The sequence below is a fragment of the Homo sapiens genome, chromosome 11, assembly GCF_000001405.40.
Source record: "Homo sapiens chromosome 11, GRCh38.p14 Primary Assembly".
Classification (NCBI taxonomy): Eukaryota; Metazoa; Chordata; class Mammalia; order Primates; family Hominidae; genus Homo; species Homo sapiens.
Window position 1 is genome coordinate 12,800,902 of NC_000011.10, and position 15,830 is coordinate 12,816,731.

Below are 15,830 nucleotides of genomic sequence, written 5' to 3' on the forward strand. Positions count from 1 at the left end.
TGGTTGCATCTTTGTGTTCTCAGTGTCAGCACCATGCCTGGCACAGAATTGGTGGTTTAAAAATTCTGTTGAATGCATGGATGGATGGGGATTGCTGGAAGCACAGCCTGGAAGGAGCAGAGGAAGGAGAGATTGAAACGAGAAGAGTGAGATGTCCCTGGGCAATGGCTGATGAAATTTAACCCAGGCAGGGAGGGGCTTGGGCTGAAAGCCTTATTAAAAAGCTGCCATCTGCAAAGCAAGAATTTAACTCCTTGGTTTCACAAGAAAAGAGTAAGTGTAGCCTAGAAATTGGGGCTGGATTTGAAAATTAGCCCCAATTCTGCAATTTTCACCGCAATAAAAGCTTCTCCAGTTATACATGGTGATTGGTCTTGATGGGCTATTGTGGACAGAGGAGGGTGCTAGGTTGGGGTGGACGGGGCCACAGCTCAGACTAAAAATCCCCTTTTCTCTCTTCATGAGCTTGGCTGCAGATGTAGAAACTAGAGCTAACAGCAGTTTTACCTCATCTTAAAGAAAAGTAGTAAATTAATGGAGGCTTTAATTAATTGCTGTGGTCTGTTGAGTACTTACTATAGGCTAAGGGCTGTAGGGAACACTTTAATTCACTGAATAATGTCAGTAACTCTGTGAAATAGATATTAGTGACCTATTTTGCAGATGCACAAACTGAAGCTCAAAGGGGTTTTCACAGATAGTGCAATACTAAGTTGGAGCCTTGGTTTGAACCTGAGCGTGTCTGCTTCCAAAGCCCATGCTCTTAGGTGGATTTTCAGTGATGCCAGAAGATGGTTGGACTTTCCTGAAGATGTTTATGTGCATTGTCGCCACAGAGTCAAACCAAGAATTGTATGGTTGTATTTCATTCAGAATCATAACATGCTTAATCCAGATGATGCCTCAGATGATGAAGGTGGGTTGCCCACAGGCTGTATTGATTGGTGATTCTTAAGAGTGTAAAAAAAGGAAATCACTTGATTTTGTTGTGGGGAGGCAGAATGTATCACACAATAGCTTGGTTGAGTTTGGCTTAATGTAGATATGTTTAATATAATTAGACTGAGGGCTGAAATGGGCACCTTCAGGTCACTGTGGAATGAGACAGAGCCCTCACTAGATTTTTGAGTCACTTGAGGTGGTTATGCCAAGCCCTGTTCACATTTCACACTTGAGTTTAAGTATTTGTGAAGGGAATATAGATCTTTGGTTTGAACTAGATATAGCTCAAAGGTTACCCATTCAGAACAGAGCATTTCAGCCTCAGGGCACCTACTTAGCCTCTAAGATGAGACCACATCTGAACCAGCCAAGTCAGCCTGGGATGAGGTTGGAGGAGAAAAATTCATGTGATAAGTCAGATTACAATTAACTTTTTTGTTATTACTTTTTGAGTGACCACAATGTGTGTGGGACTTCGAAATATGGAATAATGATGGGTTTTATTATTTCTTTTTGAGAAAAATCCAGTCACTTTTTTTTTAACCCGAGGAAGTTGAATCCTGAAGAAGGGGAGATTTATCTCTGCCCTTTGAACTTAAAGCCCATAAAGTAAAATATATAGTTTAAAACAATTACATGTTCCCCCCATCTCACCGCCGCCCGACCCTTCACAGATAGTGTTTGACAAAACACTATTTAGGAAAGTGCCTGACTGGTGGTGGAGGGGCCTTGCTTCCTGTGAATCTGCATTCCCTGTGCCACTTGCTTCCTTCCCTGAGAGGTTCTGGTGGCCAGGTGTTATGAATCCAGGTCAAGATGAAGAAAACACACTTTTGTCATTTCTTCAGGCATGTGGCCGACCCGACCGGGTCTCAGGTATTCCAGATATGAGCGATGTGCCGATTGCGCAAGGCTGGAAGCATTGCTCACTCGGAGATACCGAGGCCTGCTTGCCCCGAGCCCTTTGTTCTCCTGGTTGAAAGCAGTTAATTAGCAACTGTCTCCATAGCAACACCCTCATAGTCCAAAAACATTGTCTAGTTTTTCAGTTTAGCTTATCACACTGTTTACCTGAAGGGCTTTTCACTGCTCTGAGTCTCATTTGAGTTGGCGGCATGCCTGTTGGGGAAGTGAATTGTCAAGATAGAAAAAAACACCATGGTAGCAAGAAGCCGAGGAGACTTCTCTCTACCCAGCCCAACCCGGGCCCTGGATTCTGGGAAAACAGAAGTTGCGCCTGCCTAACATTTTCACCTGTATTTTTTTTTTTTGTTTTGCCATAAAACTGCTGTTCTCTCCACCAAGCCCTGAATTGTGAGGATTTTTCCCCCCTTTCCCCGAGAGGCTTTCTAAGCTCTTTAATATTCCCTGTTTATAGTACATTTCCATGATTAGTCATCTTGAAACCCCGAGTGTTCTCAGCCCCTGTACATTCGAGGAAATTTTGCTTCCCTGAGGGTCTTGGCATTTGCAAAGGCCCTTGGATGAAGGATTATGAGTCTGAATGTGAATTAGTCAGAGCAGCTTTGTTTTTAGGCATAATGAGGAAAGGCTTCTCTTTCTTGGTTTAAGTTCATTGTTTGTGGGAAGAAGGCAACTTCAGGTGGCTTGTTGGTAAAATAGGAAAGGAAACTGTAGCTTTTTTATAAGCCATGCAATGAAGATAATTTTCATAGCTTTCATGGACTGAGTGCAGTCTGTGTGGCCCTCCATGCCAGCTGTGTGGCCCTCTGTGCCTGCTGTGTGGCTCATGGCGCCAGCTGTGTGGCTCTCCGTGCTGGGACGCTTAGGAGCTTTTTATCTCACATCTGCAATGGGAAGACAGGAGGCAGATGGGAAAGAAGACTGCATTTCCTGAATGCCTACCACATTTCAGTTGCTGAGCCAGACTTTCACAAAATGAGGTCTCCTGTATCCTTCACAGCAAACCTGCTAACGAGGCCCTATTAAGTATTTTAAAGATGGGAAACTGGGGTTCCAAGGAGTCGTTGCCTGCCCAAGGTTGTGGAATTCTAATCTAGACCTGTTGGTTTATAGGACGCCAACACTTGTCCTGAAGCAGCGTTGTGGATTTGGTGGTGGAGTTAGGCGGTACGTATCACAGATTGCAGGGCTCTGGGAGACTTTTGCTAAGGAGGTTAGTTAGAATTTGGTGGTGTACATGTGTAATTAGATGCCTAAGTATGTCTCAGGAAATCATGAAGCTTAGGTCCAGTGATAAAATAGTAGAATTTAATTTTGAGGCACGTGTGCCAGAGCTTATTTACCCAAACAAATGTAATTCTCTTTGAAGTATTAACTTGGAAAGACTGTGCTTTGTGATATTTCCATTCTTCAGACCTTTTTAAGGAAACTTTATGGGAGCAAGTGCTTTCCCAGCTTGCAAAATACGGCTTTGAATGCATTCAGCAGACCATTCTTGAGCATTGAACTCCCCTTAATATGGGCAGAGAAGTATGGCTTTTCCCTAGCGGTGGTCCCTGGGACCTAGCATGGGTTCACCAAGAACGAGCCACCCCAGGCTAGCTTCGCTTCTTTCTCTGAAAACCTTATTAAGCAGAAAACTATAGTTTATACAATGCATAAATGAGACCTTTGATCTGCTTTTTAATTTTATCTACTGTGTTGAAAACAGAGACATAGTCTGAGCTGAATGCAAGAACTATGGTCTGAACTGCCCCTTAGTTAATACCTAAGAGTGACAAACATGTGTTGTAATGGGAGATCAGTACTATGTGATTTTTGTTGACTGTGCGATCACAGTAAGTTTGTGATGTGGCTTCTGCAGAAGCGAGTGTTACCTCGGAGTGTGCAGATAGAGGAGGATGCATACCATGTTAGAACACACTTGGAGCCAGGGGTTCTGTTTTCCTTCCTTCGCTCCCTGCCTCTCTCCACTATACTGTATGCCAGGTACCTTTCTATGTGTTGGGATGCAAAGGTGGACAAAAGAAAGCCCCTTTAGAGAGAACGTAAAAACTAGGGTTTCTTCAGAGGGCAGCACCCCAGATGATAAAGAGAAGAAACCACATGTCACACAAAATCATTCAAAGGATGGGGTGGATGTGGGAGTGGTAGTATTTGCCCTGACTTAGAAAAGACTCTGCAGAGACATGGGTGAAGAAGCAGCACATTTGTCCAGTAGACTCTAGTTATAATCTTAAAAGGCAGTCACATTTTGGCTCAATTATAAAAAAGATATTCTTCACAGTCCTGCAAAGGTGGACTGGGCTTCTGCTTTAGGATATAGCGAGAAGTATTGAAGCAGGGATCAAAAGACCATTTGGTGGCTTACTGTGAAGGTCAACAATATAATGAATCTCCTTTAAAATTTCCAGTCATGAAAATTGTATAAGTGAGCAGGCATGTCATCTGCCTGCAAGACACATGCTAGTAATGAAGGAAGATGTATATCACAATGAACATGCCTGCTTTATATTGTTTATTTATTTCTTTGGGGGCAGCTGAATATGATCAATTTAGAGATGTTAGAACATTTGTAACTATAGTTTGTGAGATGGGCAATTTTAACTGCAGGAAGTCTTCAGAATCACAGCACAGGTTCAATTCACTGTGGTTGTTATGTCATAATTATATATTGTGGATGTCTAATTCCTTTTCAAACCTAGAAGTAAAGATCATGTAACATATCCTAGCCAATATTAAAGCAATATTATTATAAAAATGATCTCTGATGTAGAACCACTAGAATTAGGGCCTTAGGTCTACCCATATTGAGTTTGCCCTTTTTATTTGCAAAATGCTTGATCCCAGATTGCTATGAGAGATAGACATAATAGTGATCTTTCTGCTTTTGATAGTTAGGTATCATAGTTTTAAGACAGCCCATGGAGTTTTAGAAATTGTGTCTGTGTCTACAGAATCATGTGTGTGATTAGATAAAGATTAGTAGGTACAGAAACTAGCTGAAGCATTGATTGATACACCTTGTACCTTCCAAAGAATTGATCTGTTTAAATCAAGTTAGTTTTACAGCTCCGTTTGTTGCTTCTCTAGATTGATTAGGTGGTTTTATGATGTTTCTTTTATTTTTTTCACTAGGAATTTTGCTGAGTATTTTTAATACCTGAATTGACAGACTGGTTTATCGGTGTTGGGGGTCTGTGTGAGCTTCTCATTAGTCCATTTACAATGGCAGCACTTTCATGTTTAAATGTAGACAAACCTGTCCCTAATATTTATGGAGCCTGAGGCAAAGAGTGTCAGTGGAAGCTCATGTACTCTATGTTGAAATATTTAAAGGAAAATTCGAGTTAATACACTGTTAAATAACATTTTCTCACCTCCTACTTTGACAAATTTACTTTAATAATAACTTGGAACCCAGGTTCAAATTTAGAGGCCTGCCCCCTTCTCTTCCCACTCCAGCTGTATGTTGTAACATGTTCATATGGATGCTGCAGATTGCACAAGCAAACCTTCTTCTCCTTCCTCCTGCTAACAGCTGTTCCCAGGCCACTCCTTGCAGTGAAGCATACTCACACCTGTGACACAATCTGCCCTTTTGAGAACAGATTCAGGGAAGTGGCCTACACAGACCTTGGAAGTGGAAAAGGGTTATTGGCTTGAGAGTTCCAAAGTCTTGGGTCCTTGGTCGATGGTCTAAAAGGTGAGGGTGTTAGGTGAAGTGTCCTCTTGATCCTCAAAGGCTCCTCACCCTGGGAGGAGGAGGAAGATGGCCAGAAGAAGACCAGAGCAAGACCCTCTAAAGTCTAGGGCCCAAGTTGGGCCCTCTGGCCGAGGTCTAAGGACTGTACAGAATATGGATAAAAGCATGACTAACTTCCAACTGCCTTTCATACTTCAGAGCTTGAAACCGAGTAGTTTCAACCAAGTAGTTGGGTTGGCCTAAGTAGCTTTGCCATTTAACCTCGTAAATGATCTAAACATCAACATAGTCTGAGAGTTGAATAAAAAATAAGTGAAGTAGTTGTTCATTGTCAGGTCAGGTTTGAATTCTCTCATACTTGAAATCCCTGCAACTGTGAAATTGCCTGTAGGAATTGCAGGTTGTGCTAAACAATCAAACGAATTGGTAGGTTGGCTCCCATAGGCAAAATCTTGAGGCTGTTTGGGGCAAAAAAAATTACAAAATATAACTAGTAATAAGTGGGATGCAATAAGAATCAAATGTGATCCAATTTTCTGGGGAAGCAAATTGCATTGCACTTTGTTTTATTTTAAAAAATGATGTGAAAATACAGAGCATCACAGCACAGACAAATATCTTACACCAGTTTTCACAATAAAATCCCCAAATGTGAAAGCTCTCCCTTTTTGCAAAGGCACTTTGGAAGCAATAATGTTTGTGTGCATAGTTGAGTTTATCAGAGTATACTGATTTTTTATCCCATGAGGTTTTCAAGGAAAGTGCAGCTGGTCAACCTTTAGTGTTTTCTTTGCCACAGGGTATAGTTCTGTTTCTGTCCGCTCAAATACAGTCTTTCAGGAAACGAATTCTCTGTAGGATACCTTAAAATGTCTTTGTGTTGTAACACAGGGTAGGGGGCAGTATGTTTAATAGGTTAGTGTGGATACGTGGGTCCTGAAATCACAGTCCTGCTTTTTGCTCCTGGCTCTGCCACTTCTAGTTACTTGTGTAACCTTGAGCAAGTTACTTAACCTTCTCTAAGTTTCAGTTTTCTCATCAGTAAAGTGGGTTGAATAATAGTGCCTTTGTTAAAAGGTAGGTATGAGGATTGAAAAGTATAGGTAAAGGGGTTAGCACATAGTTAACATTCAATAAATGCAAACTATTAATCACTATTAGCTCACTTGTGTAAGGAAGGCCTATGGGTTTATAGAAAGGTAACATTTTGTGGTAAGAGAACCTCTCCAGGGGAACCTCTGTAAACTCCAGAGGGCTGCACGGAAAATTCCACTGTGGATGATGGGCCTTCTCCCGGAGTTTACCTGTTAAGGTGAAGTAGGTCGTGCTTTGAAGTGCTTGGCAGTGGCCAGACCTGGACAGGTACTGAGAGTTGCACTGGGTGCTGTGGTTGCTGTGTCCCCGCCTTCCATCCTAGGTAGCAGATGGTAGTCCTTACTCATCTCTGAAGAGTCCTAAGTAGCCCGAGTCCTAGATGTAATTTGTTGCTTATCCGCAAAGTGGTTTTGAAGGATATGGTTTTTCTTCTTTGGGTATGAAACATAAGAGGATGAAGGAAAAATGAGAAGTTTTGTTTCTAAATGAATATAGTACACAGCCTCAGAAAATATGGGGAAAAGATGAGAAGGAAAATTATTTTTATTTCTAAATGCACTATTCATTTCATTTTCCAAGTAACTTGTGGCTATCATTATTTTTAGTGATTTATGCTTAAATAGTCTTCCTTGGGAATAATCAAATACTGGCTTCAAATATAGACAGGGAAATTATAGGTCATAGTAGGCTCATAAAATAACGCTTAGAATGAACTTGGGATGGGACGTGGAACAGGGCAGCAGACTTTCCACCAGGCGCCATTCCTGTGTTCTCAGCTCTACCCTTGAGCCTTCTCTAGTGGGGCCCCAAATGCACCACCATGATGTAAGGGTCTGACCAACTACTTAGTTTCTAGCAGCCCAGAGTGAAGGCACCTCTCTGTGCCTTCCTCTTCGCTAAGCCTCAGTTTTTTTGTTTTTGTTTTTTTCCCTTGCAAAAATTGAGACAGTAGTGTCCAATTTGCAGAGGGTCTCTGAGAATGAAATCAGAGGCACGTAGCAACTGCCTGGACAGTGCCAGCACTCCACCTGCCACCCCTCCCCACTGCCCTCTATTTGTGGAGAGGTGGATGATTTTGCTAGTCACAAAGCCTGTCTTCTTTGAGACAGTAGGGAAAAAGCAACCACTGTGATTCACAGAATTTCCTGAATAGGCACAGCTGCAATTTCTCTGCCTTTACTCATCACCATAAACATACTTTAAAGTTGTCAGTTATGTTTTCTTTCTCATTTTTGGTGTTGAAAAAAATTAACCTTTGAGTTTCAGTTTCCTTTTCTGTAAAATGGGGAGAAGAATAGCTCCCATTCCATAAGGTGGCTGTGAGAATGTGAGAATACAGGTGACAGGCTGCATAATTCTCGCAAAATGCTGTTGGAGTCCCTAGAAGGGGAGGAGGGGAGCTGTGAAATCCGGTTTGGAATTGGGAATTTTCATCCTGAGCTTGTGTTAAGGAAAGGAATGAGGCCCATCCCAAAGTAGAAACCAAAAACGTTCTTACTGAATATGGCACAAGCACTGGTTTTCTTTCCTAATGAGTGTGGTCATTATTAGAGTTAAGCCTTTCCCTGCATGGCAAGTGTGAACATGTCTGCAGACCCTGAGGACACCAGAGCGGCAGGCTTTGAAGGGAGAGCAGTGGACACTCAGTGACGGGGCCACTCACAGTCTAGCTCTGACCCCACCAGATCCTGTAGGTTCCTGGTTCTTGTTCCTGGTGAATTCCTGACTATCACCTTTACACAGTGATAGAGCCTTTATTTCCACTCTGCATGGAGGCATATTGCATTTGAAAGATTGAAACCCATTGCTGTCCCCATTGACAGGGAGCATGTTAAGGGTAAGATGCTGCATTTCACTCATTGCTGGGCCCCCATTTCTGAATCTGGACTTGTGTCTTGTAGGCATTCAAGAAGTAGCAGTTGGAAGAATGTCACTGATGGAATTGATGTCTCTGTGTACACACCCCCAGATCAAAGACCATGCTTCTTGGTCTAGCCATAGGAACTCTCCACCCTTGAGACTCAGCCAGGACGTGGGGCCCAGCCTTTCTTTACCTCCCTGGTAGTGCCCTTTTTAGAGATAGGCATAAAATGACAGTGCTGCCCCTCAAGTCTAAAGGAGGGGGCAAAACGTAGCGTCCTGTGCTTCACCACTGGGGGCTGGCTGGGCCACTGTTAAGGTCTGTGGAGACTTCTGTTTGCAGGAGAGGTTGATGAAAACCCTTGGCTTTAGCTGTGGCCAGAGGATCCAGGCTTTACCTTGTATGCTCCGAGCCCTGTGCCTGGCAAGTCTGCCACATGGTTATGGAAATGTTCCTGAGGCATGAAGGAGGCCTTTCTGGACCAGCCGATGGGGAGTGGGTGAGGAGGTGTGGAGGAGGAAAGAAAGAAAACTCTTTCCCCATTCTTTTTTTTTTTTTTTTTTTTTTTTGAGATGGAGCCTCCCTCTGTCGTCCAGGCTGTAGTGCAGTTGTGCAATCTTAGCTCACTGCAAGCTCCACCTCCTGGGTTCAAGCAGTTCTCCTGACTCAGCCTTCCGAGTAGTTGGGACTATAGGCGCACACCACCACGCCTGGCTAATTTTTGTATATTTAGTAGAGACAGGGTTTCACCATGTTGGTCAGGCTAGTCTTGAACTCTTGACCTCGTGATCCGCCCACCTCAACCTCCCAAAGTGCTGGGATTAAAGGCTTGAGCCACTGCGCCCTTCCTCTTTCCCCATTCTTAAGTACCTAGTAACAGGTCTGAGCTGTTTAGAGGTGTAAGGGAGCTTGCGAAGTTGGGAAGTGTCCGGATGTATGGACGCTGGAGCATTTTCCCCATGAGGGTCTAAGCCTGGGAAAATGGCCAGATTCTACTCAGAGACATTCTCCCATTTTCTTAAACTAGGGGTGTGCTGGGAGAACTCTGGGCTCCTTGCCCACAGGACAGCCGAGAAGCTTTTGTCTTCCCCTCTCTTGCTGAGACACATCCTCCCTCTGAACTTCCCACCTTAGTCTTCGGAGTCGTTTTAGACTCGAGATTGCTAGTGACTTGAAGGTTCTGGTCTTTCTGCTATGATTGGGATCTGTGCTGCACCCCTGGGTCTGGCAGTGTCCCCAGCAGTGGGATGCTGCCCAGCAGTAGGTCTTTCATGCTGACGAGCACAGTGGCTGATGTCATTGTGGGGGAGTTCCTTCTGTGGCCATAGAGGTCTTGGTCTTTAACGCTATATCTCCTCCTCCCTGGCCCTGAAATAAATTCCTTTGGGCTGCTAACTCTCCTTCCTTTAGTGGCTGCTGTTAGTTAATAGTCCTTTTCCTAGACTGGTGAGATGGTTGCTTTCATCTCAGCCTGTGAGGCTGGGAGTCATTTGGATGGAGGTGGCCAGAAGCTACTTGAATGCTCCACGGCTATAGAGGACATTCAGCATCCATTCTGTTTTTCTTACCAAATGCATAGAGGCCAGCCCTCTCACTGGCTCATTGTATGATTCAGGTGGGATGACGTCCCTTGCAACTCTGGAAGTAGACCGTGATTGATATAAGCCTAAAACAGCTATGTCCACGGCGATTGATTGAGGGATGGTGCCTGACCAGTCACATCCAGTGAGATAGAGGAGATATCTTTCTGGGGCTGCTGGGAAAGTAAAGCTTTCTTTCGCTGAAGCTTTCAGAAGAGAATCACACATCCTGTGGATGGTGTAGGGTGAGGACATGAGTTCTATATGGGAGCAGTTTTCTTTCATAAGAATCCCACACATGTGCAGGACTGGTTACTGGTTGGAACCACTAAGTAACCTATTGGGAGGCAGATTGGTAATGATGCCATCTAAGCTGTTGGAACAAGACTTCTTAGTTAAATAAGCCACTAAGCCCCCTCCATTGCTTAAAAGCCAGTTTGATCATTGTTTCTTAGAACATAGTGACCTGATATGCAGACCTTCCTCTTGTGAATTTGTTGAGGACTTTTCCTACAAGGTCTTCTCCAAGGTCTGTGTGAGGGTTCGGCATTAGCATCTGGGAAGCCAGGGATCCTCATGCTAAGGCAGAACAAAAACAGGAGTCAGGGCTGGAGAGGGGCGTCTGTGGTCTCTGGGGCAAGGCAGCTTGAGGTGGGACCCAGAAGTCCAGGGAATCAGAGAGGAACAGTGGGTTGGAGTAGATCTGTGGGTTGGAATAGGTCTGTGAGAGGTCTTAGGGGAGTGGTCTTGCCCACAGTGGAGTGGCCCCGAATCCACTGAGGATCCCGGGATGGGGGTGCAGGCCTTCGGTTATCATAGACTGTATATGTGTATCTGGGTGGGGGTGGGGGTGGGGGTAGGGTGGTGTGTCTAAGTTCTTTCATGTCTGGGGTGGTGTTGTAGATCGAACTTCTCCCAAACAGGCTCAGCCACACCGGTAGGACGTAGTCTCTTCCTGTTTTGCTTTATGATGTTCCTGTCTCTTAAGCTGAAAAGAGCCCCTGAAAGCCACTATTTAGTTGCCTATACTGACACACACCTGCGATTGGATGGATCGTCTCACACAGAGAGTTATGCACCATTCATAGCTAACCTCAGGGCCGGGGTGGTGCTCAGAAACACTGTCTTTATGATATACATGGGCTTTTGAGCTCGTGGCTTGTGGTTGTGGACTGAGAAAATTGCTTCCTGGGTTTATAGAGATGGTAGGGGAAATGACCCTCTTGCCACCACTTATTCAGTGATGGCTTCCTGGTGTGATGCTTGGGGATGGATGTGACTGAAAGGATTTCAGGAGTTAATTGGAAGAGTACATCATAGCATGCATGATTGATCCCTATGTGGTATTATCATTATTAGAATCCCAAAAAGGTGATGGTTAAAAGAGTACTTAACTATTTGCTGGTCACTGGAGAGATGGAAACACTGAACATGTTTGTCCTTATCCTGCAAGAGCTCAGAGCCTAATATGGACAGCAGATCTGTAATAAATATTGTAGGGGATGGTAGAGGGACAGATTCACATTGACACAAATTTTTAAAAAGTAAATATTTAAAAGTAAACTTTTTCCCTCCAGAATATTACTGGTATTCATCTTCTTCCAGATAGAATATCTAATATAAAACCTATGAAATTTATCAAGAGAAGGCTTAATACAGGAGATGCTGGAAGCGCATAGATTTTCCTCAAATCCCTCTTGGTACATGTGAATCCACTACATCCAGAATCAGGCCATGCATCTTCACCAAATCATTCCCTTTGGGGAAGTCGTGGCTCAGTGCTCTTCTGGTTCAGGAACACTGAGCCAGAGTAAATCACCCCTAATGGTCCTCTCTGCAGCCAGTGAGATTTCTAATACAGCAAGAATTCAATAGAACAATACCTTTCTAAGGTACTAGCTAGACTGTTAAGAGGGGCTAATGTGGTAGCAGCCTCCTGGCACAAAGGCAAGGGTCTGTGGTTAGTGACTGTCGTGTCTGTCTGAGCAGGGAGAATGTCCGTGAGCAGAATAGCTGGTGTCCAGATGCTCCTAGTGAACTTTTATCAGTGAGCAGACGTGGCCTGGGAGGGCAAGCCAGACAGTCCAGCCGGCTTGGAGCTGGAAGGGAGGAGTTCAGTCTTAGGTCAAGATACTGTGCTGAGGGAGGTGGAGCTGTAGAGGCAGTGGGCAAACTGGGGGCTCCCTGGGAGCCCTGGAAGCAGCTTCCACCACTTTGGATATTTGGCAATTGGAGGTGGAAGGATGCCAGGGAAGGTGTTTGGGTTTCTTTTCTCTGTGAAGTTATGGCAGTGCCATCTTCCAATCAGCCATCAAGAGAGCCACCTTTAAGAGTGCCTCAAGTGAGCCAAATTAGGGGATCGCCGGGACAGAAAAGCTGCTGAGGTGGGATGAGCACTGTGGATCATCTTCTGCCCTTCTGGAAGTCTTTGTGGGCTGGACATCCCAAATGTGGGCCTGGGAAAATAACATTTCCCATACTTCATGTGTGTATGTTTCATTTTTTACAGTGGTGCTTTTGATAAGCAGTGTAACATCAAAGCCAAGAACTGTGCTTTCCATTTCTGGAAATATGAGGAGCCCAGAGGCTTCTCTTTGAGATAAGAGCTGTGTGACTGTGTGAGCTACTTAATTTCTCCAAACTTCAGTGTGCACCTTCTTTGCAGGGCTGTATAAGGATTCATTGAGATGCTAACCATGACACACTTGGCTCACAGTGGGTACTTAGTCCTTGTCAGCTTTCCTGCCCGTCTGCAGGGGTGGCAGTGGTGCCAGGGGGTGGCGTGCTGAACTGCAAGTTCATCTGGGATCTCCTGGTTGTGTTTGGATTTAGCTGGGGTGTGTCCTCTCCTCCTACACCTTGAGTCACCAGCCAAGGTGGAGGAGAGAGGATGGGGTGTAGCCTGTGTCCAGCTCTCTCTTGGACATGGTTGGGAGGTGCTGACCACAAGTCCGAGGCCCTGAAAAGAAGTGCTGCAAGGAGGATGTTTCTTTCCCCATTGGCACAGCATCAAGGTTCTCAACAGCTGGACACAAACAAGCTGTTCTGGGAGCCGTGTCTCATTCCCCTTCACCTCCTGCTTGCTGCCTGCTACGCTCACTGGTCACCAGGGCTGACGTATGGGGAGGAATGGAGAGTGGTCTCACTGACAGTGGATGTCATTGTTTGCTCTCTCTGGAAGGAGGATGTCTGACCGAGGCCAGAGACCACGCTCAGGGGACCTGGACGCCCGGGGAGTTCAAGCGAGCCTCTGTCCTCAGTGATGGAGTCCTGGGCCACTGGGGCAGTGTTTGGGTGCTGCTTCCACTCTGGCTCTTGACAACAGAGTTTGTTCCCTTTGAAACAAGTTTGTAGGAACCAGAGTGTGTGAGGGGCCTTTGGCAGCGCTGAAGGAAGGGCAGCTGGAATCTTTGACCCCCTCAGGCCCCCGCTGGCCTGGCTAGAGAGCTCTGCCTGGAAGGGGACCTCTGTTGCTGGGCAAGGGAAGGCACCTTTGGCTTTAGGAAGCCTGAGGGTCTTGTCCCTGTCCTGGTTGCCAGGGCTCTGCCTAGTGCCATGGAAGGGAAGACCAGATTGGAAGTGATTCAGAAGCCGAATAAATGAAGAGCGTGACAGCACTTGAGAGTCTTTGCGCATGTCATCTCATTTAATCCCCTAATAGCAGCAAGGGCGAGAGGCTTAGACATGTTAGGAAGCTTGTCACACCGTAAGCAAGACAGCCAGGAATTCTGATCTCAAGTCCAGCCACCCCTGACCATCGCAGAGCTCTGTGTGTGTGTGTGTGTGTGTGTGTGTGTGTGTGTGTGTGTGTGTGTGTGTGTGTGTGTGTGTCCCCGTCCGTCCCGAGCTGTGTGTGTGTGTCTGTGTGTGTGTGCACGCGTCCCGGAGCGCACGCACCCATCAGTGAATGCTGCCTCCACGTGGGCAAGGCATATGCGTTTTTCTTTCATTATTCTCAGAAACAGGCATCCAGTGCAGAACGGGCCTGTAATGGTTGCTGACTAAGTGCTTAATGGAGATGTTTCTGCTGATAAGCCTCAGTTGAAAAGGGAAAGACGCAGGCAAGCTGGCCAACATCAAAGCCGGGCTTTGTTTATAGATAAGGGTAGGTTTCATTCTGTGGGTTCCAGAGCCCCTGTCCCCAAATCTCAGAGGGGGTGAGTTTTAAACAGAAACTGTGTTTATCTCCCGCAGTGGGCTGGAAGACAGGCCTGCTGGGACTCAGAAGCTTCCCTCCCTCCCATCCTCCCTTCCTTCCTTTTTCCCTTTCTTCTTCCCTCCCTCCCTTCCCAGATAGCTAGCCACTGCCCTCATTTATAACATAACATAAATAATGCTCTCTCTGCCCCAGCTGTTTCCGTTTGGTTTTTGTTCTTCACATATTTTATTCGTACTTGATTGTGGGTTATTTAAAGTAATTTGGAAAATATGAATATTAAGTAGAGGAATCTGGAGAAGAGGTCACAGAACTGTAATGGACCCAAGCTGCAAAAATGCAAAACACAGTGTGTAACCATATGTGTGTGGACCTTCCCTCTTAGTTAAAACTGGCCATGACATGATGGTATGCCCCTCTTAACAGGTGTTTCAACTAGATGTAACCAAGTAATAAGTAGCTTCAATGATTGGGTGATGACGATTGGACTAAATTGTAATCTGGGCAGAAGTATAGAAATTCAACAGTTTTAAGGGCATTTGTGATATATGTGTATGTGTTACTTATGTGTTCTTCAGGACACAGATGGGGCCAAAGGACAAATTTTCTGTGTTTTCAGCACTGGGGTGCATGAGGGAGCAGGTGTCGGCCACACCAACACATATAAGTTGTTGCCTGCGGGTACAGATCAATGAATTCTTTCCTGTTACTTCATGGCTCAGAGGAAAGAAGGAAGAGCCAGCAAGTTAAGATCATGTATATGACGTAGAGCTAATCCTTTTAAATTACATGTTACAGCACTTCAGGTTTTGATATGCCCAGGACTGAGGTCCTTTTAGGTTTTCAGAAGACTGAGAATTCTTAGGAACCTAGACAGGGCCTCTGTTAAGGCTGAGCAAGCTGCGGTCTGCCTTCCTGTCTCTTCTGTTGGGCAGTCACGGGGGTGCTGATGCCAGGTGGCTTGTGAGCCTTCCCACTTTGCACTGTGCCTGCACTCGGGTGGCTTTTTATCAATCCGATACTGTTGCACTCACGTCCCACTTTGAGGCTGGATGAAGTCAAGCTGCCCGCCTTGCTGCCACCCTCTCTCATTCCAGTGTCTCTGACCACACTCTCACTAGGCCCTCTGGAAATCCCCTGTAGGATTTTGGAGGAGCATTCTGAGAACGGTTCTCTTGTATACGCTCTTGTTGTCAGGACACTTGAGCCAAAGTTGTTGGTCATTTGCCCCAGGAGCCCCTTTTCTTCTGCACGCTCTTTTTCCAGGGGATTTCAGGGTAGGTTCAACACTTTAAGTTACCCCGCCCCCTTTTTGGTATTTGTAGTGGCTTACACGCCCCAGGTAACTGAAAACTTTTGTTGGCTTATTAGGGGCATTTCCACATTGGAGCTGTAATCCGTGGAGATCAGGAAGACGTTTTCTTTGGGTGACTTTTTTCTCCTGGTGATGCAGTGGGCCAGTGCAAGGAGGAGGGTGAGTTTAGTTGCTATACACAAGCCAGGTACAAGACTTCCAGAGTGAGAGGGATAATTTACACCCTGTGGCTATTTATTTAGCACATCTTT

The 15,830-nt window shown here is 45.3% G+C and overlaps 1 protein-coding gene across 1 annotated transcript in view, besides 1 other annotated feature; it reads left to right on the forward strand.

The window, feature by feature from the left end:
* The window catches only part of TEAD1 (TEA domain transcription factor 1), a 270,317-nt gene that overhangs the window by 126,481 nt on the left and 128,006 nt on the right, over nt 1-15,830 (forward strand). The window lies entirely within an intron of this gene.
* Nucleotides 8,074-8,745: an enhancer, noted in NCBI's record as "H3K27ac hESC enhancer chr11:12830522-12831193 (GRCh37/hg19 assembly coordinates)". NCBI's record gives its function as "activates a minimal SCP1, AML or CMV promoter by ChIP-STARR-seq in primed H9 embryonic stem cells {active_cell/tissue: H9 hESC(primed)}" and the evidence as "EXISTENCE:reporter gene assay evidence [ECO:0000049][PMID:30033119]".